This window comes from Homo sapiens, chromosome X, assembly GCF_000001405.40.
Source record: "Homo sapiens chromosome X, GRCh38.p14 Primary Assembly".
Taxonomy (NCBI): Eukaryota; Metazoa; Chordata; class Mammalia; order Primates; family Hominidae; genus Homo; species Homo sapiens.
Window position 1 is genome coordinate 91,302,443 of NC_000023.11, and position 4,207 is coordinate 91,306,649.

Consider the following 4,207-nt stretch of genomic DNA (forward strand, 5'->3'; position numbering starts at 1 on the left):
AACACAGCATTACTGGGCCTGGGTTGCCTTCTAAAGTAGAAACAACTTATATCAACACTTAAATCCTGGAAAGCCTTTCCAAGAAAGGTGGCTACCAGTAAGTCCAGACTGTGAAGACCATAATAGATACCCAACTTTTCAATGCCCAGAAACTAAATACCATCTACTAGAATCAAAACCATGCATGAAAATGTGATCTTGCCAAATGAACTAAAGCCACCAGGAAGCAATACCGAAGAAAGCAAGATATGCAAACTTTCAGACAGAGAATTCAAAATAGCTGTGTTGAGGAGACTCAAAGAAATTCAAGATAACACACAGAAGAAATTCAGAATTCTAACAGATTAATTTAAATCGTTAAAAAGAATCAAGCAGAAATTCTGGGGGTAATAAATCTAACTGGCATACTGAAGAATGCATCAAAGTCCCTTAATAGCAGAATGATTCAAGCAGAAGAAAAAATTAGTGAGCTTGAAGACAGGTTATTTGAAAATACAGAAATGAGACAAAACAAAAAAAAAGACTAAAAAACAATGAAGCACACCTATATGATGTAGAAAATAGCCTCAAAAGGGAAAATCTAAGAGGTATTGGCCTTAAAGAGAAGGTAGAGAAGGAGACAGAGGTAGAAATTTATTCAAAGGGATAATAACAGAGAACTTCTCCAACAGAGAGGAAAATATCAATATCATAGTATAAGAAGGTTATAGAACGCAAGGAAGATTTAACCCAAAGAAGACAACCTCAAAGCATTTGATATTCAAACTTTCAAAGCACAAGAAGAAAGAAAAGATTTTAAAAGCAGCAAGGGAGGAGAAACAAATAACATACAATGGAGCTCCTATACATCTGGCAGCAGACCTTTCAATGGAAACCCTACTGGCCTGAAGGGAGTGACATAACATATTTAAAGTGGTGAGGAAAAAGGTACATTAAAATAGTATATTTGGTGAAAATATCTTTCAAACATGAAGGAGAAATAAGAACTTTTCCAGAAAAACAAAAGCAAAGGTATTTCATCAATACCACACCTGACTTACAAGAAATGCTAAAGGGAATACTTCAATCAGAAAGAAAAGGACATTAATGAGCAATAAATAGTCACCTGAAGGTAAAAGACTCACTGGTAATGGTAAGTACACAGAAAACCAGAGAATATTATGACGCTGTAATGTGGTGTGTGAACTATTTTCCAAAATAGACAGACTAAATGATGAACAAATCAAAAATAATAACTACAGCTCTTCAAGACATAGTACAATAAGATATAAATAGAAACAACAAAAAGGTGAAAGGCAAGGGGACTAATTTGAGGTAAGTTTTTATTGTTTTCTTTTTGATTGTTTGTTTATGTAAAAGGTGTTAATTTGCTATCAGGTTAAAATAATGGATTATAAAAAAGTATTTGCAAGCCTCATAGTTACCTTAAACCAAAAAGCATACAATGAATACACAAAAAGTAAAAAGCAAGAAACTAAATCATATTACCAGAGAAGACTATTTTCACTAGAGGAAGACAGGAATAAAAAAAATGAAGAGAAGACAACAAACAACTGGAAAACAAATTTTTAAAAATGGCAGGAATAAGTCCTTTCTTATCAATAATAACGTTGAATGTAAATAGACTAAACTCTCCAATCAAAAGATATAGACTGGCTGAAAAGAAGAAAAAACAAAACCATTGATCTGTTGCCTACAAGACATACAGTTCACATACAAAGACACACATGGACTGAAAAAAAATTTTTTTAAATTCCATTCCAAGGAAAACAAAGAAGAGCAGAAGTTATTATAATTATATAAGACAAAATATATTTCAAGAGAAAAACTGTAAGAAAAGACCTAGAAGGTTACTACACAATAACAACAGAGTAAACTCAGCAAGAGAATATAACAATCTTAAATATGCACCCAACACTGGAGCACGCAGATATATAAAGAAAATATTATTAGAGGTAAACATAGAGATAAGCCCCTAATAAAATAGTAGCTGGAGGCTTCAACACCCCACTTTAAACGTTGGACTGATCTTCCACAGATAAAATCAACAAATAAACATGAAACTTAATCTGCACCATAGACCAAATGGATCTAATAGTTATTTATAGAACATTTCATCCAAAACCTGCAGAATACACATTCTTTTCCTCAGCCCACGAATTTTTCTCAATGATAGATCATATGTTAGGTCATAAACAAGTTTTAAAACATTCAATAAAATTAAAATGACCTCAAGTATCTTCTCTAACCACAATAGAAATAAAACTAGAAATCAATAAAAAGAGGAATTTTGGAAACTATACAAATAAATGATAGTTAAACAATATGCTTCTTAATGACCAGTTAATGAAGAAATTGAGAAGAAAATTGAAAAAAATTCTTGAAACAAATGATAATGAAAATACAACATATCAAAACTTATGGGATACAGCAAAAGAAGTACCAATAGGAAAGTTTATAGCTATACGTGACCACATCAAAAAAGAGAAAAAAAACTTCAAATAAACAATCTAATGATGCGTCTTAAAGAAGTAGAAAGGCAAGAGAAAACTGAACCCAAAACTTAGAAGAAAATAAATAATAAAAATCAGAGAATAAATGAAATTGAAATAAAAAATAAAAGATCAATGAAACAAAAAGTTGGTTTCGTGAAAAGTTATACAAAATTGACCAACTTTTAGCCAGACTAAATAAGAAAAAGAGAAGATCTGAATAAATCAAGAAAATCAGAAATTAAAGAGGAGACATTACAACTGATGCTGCAGAAATTCAAAGGATCATTAGAGGCTACTGTGAGCAACTATATGCCAATAATTTGGAAAATCCAGAAGAAGTGGACAAATTTCTATATACATATAACCTACCAGTATTGAAACACAAAGAAATCTAAAACTTGTATAGTCCAATAAAAATTAAAAAGATCAAAGCCTTAATAAAAAGTCTTCCAGTAAAGAAAAGCAGAGGGCCTGAAGTTCACTGCTGAATTCTATCAAATATTTAAAGAACTAATACCAATCCTACTCAAAATATTCTGAAAAATAGAGGAGAAGACAATGCTTCCAAACTCATTCTATAAGGCCAGAATTACCCAGATACCAAAAGCAGACAAAAACACATCAAAAAAAGAAACCTACAGGCCAATATCTCTGATAAATATTGATGCAAAAATGTTCAAAGAAAGACTAGCAAACCAAATTCAACAATACATCAGAAAGATCATTCATCATAACAAAGTGGGATTTATCCCTGGGATGCAAGGTGGTTGAATATACACTCCATTGCTTTTTATTCTTTGTGTGTGTGTGTCCTCTAACTGTGTATTTCCAAATAGCCTGCCTTCATGTTCACTAATTTTTTATTCGGCTTAATCCATTCTGCTCTTAAAGGGCTCCAATACCTTTTTCAGCAGGCCAATTGTATTTTTCAGCTCCAGAATTTCTACTTGATATATTTTAAGTATATCAAGCTCTTTGTTAAATTTGTCTGATAGAATCGTGAATTCCTTCTCTGTGTTATCTTAAATTTCTCTTTCAACAACGTGACTATTTTGAACCTTCTGTCTGAAAAGTCACATATCTCTGTTTCTCTAGGAGGATTGGTCCCTGATGGCTTATTTAGTTTATTTGGTGAGATCATGTTTTCCTGAATGGTGTTGATGCTAGTAGATGTTTGTCAGTGTTTGGACATTGAAGGGCTAGGTATCTGTTGTTGTCTTCACAGTCTGGGCCTATTCGTAGCCATCCTTCTTGGGAAGGCTTTCAAAATATTTCAAAAAACTTGGGTGTTGTGATCTACTCTTTATCTGCTTTAGGTTGAAACCCAAGACCACTAACTCTGTGGATCTTGCAGACTCATAGCCTTGGTTGTCTTGAACAAGATTTGGGAGATCTCTAGATTACCATGCAGAGACTCCTGTTCTCTTCCCTTATTTTCTTCCAAACATTCTCTCTCTCTCTCTTTCTCTCTCTCTCTCTGTTCTAAGCCAGCTAAAGCTGGGGATGTAGTGATGCAAGCACCCCTGTGGCCATCACCACTATGACTGCACTGGGTTAGACCTGAAGCCAGCATAGTCCTTCGTCTCACCCAAGGCCTGCTGAAACTACTCTCTGGCTACTGCCTATGTTCATTCAAGGCCCTGGCGCTCTACAATTATCAGGTGGCAAAGCCAGCCAGGCTTGTGTTCTTCCCTTCAAGGCAGTGAGGTCCC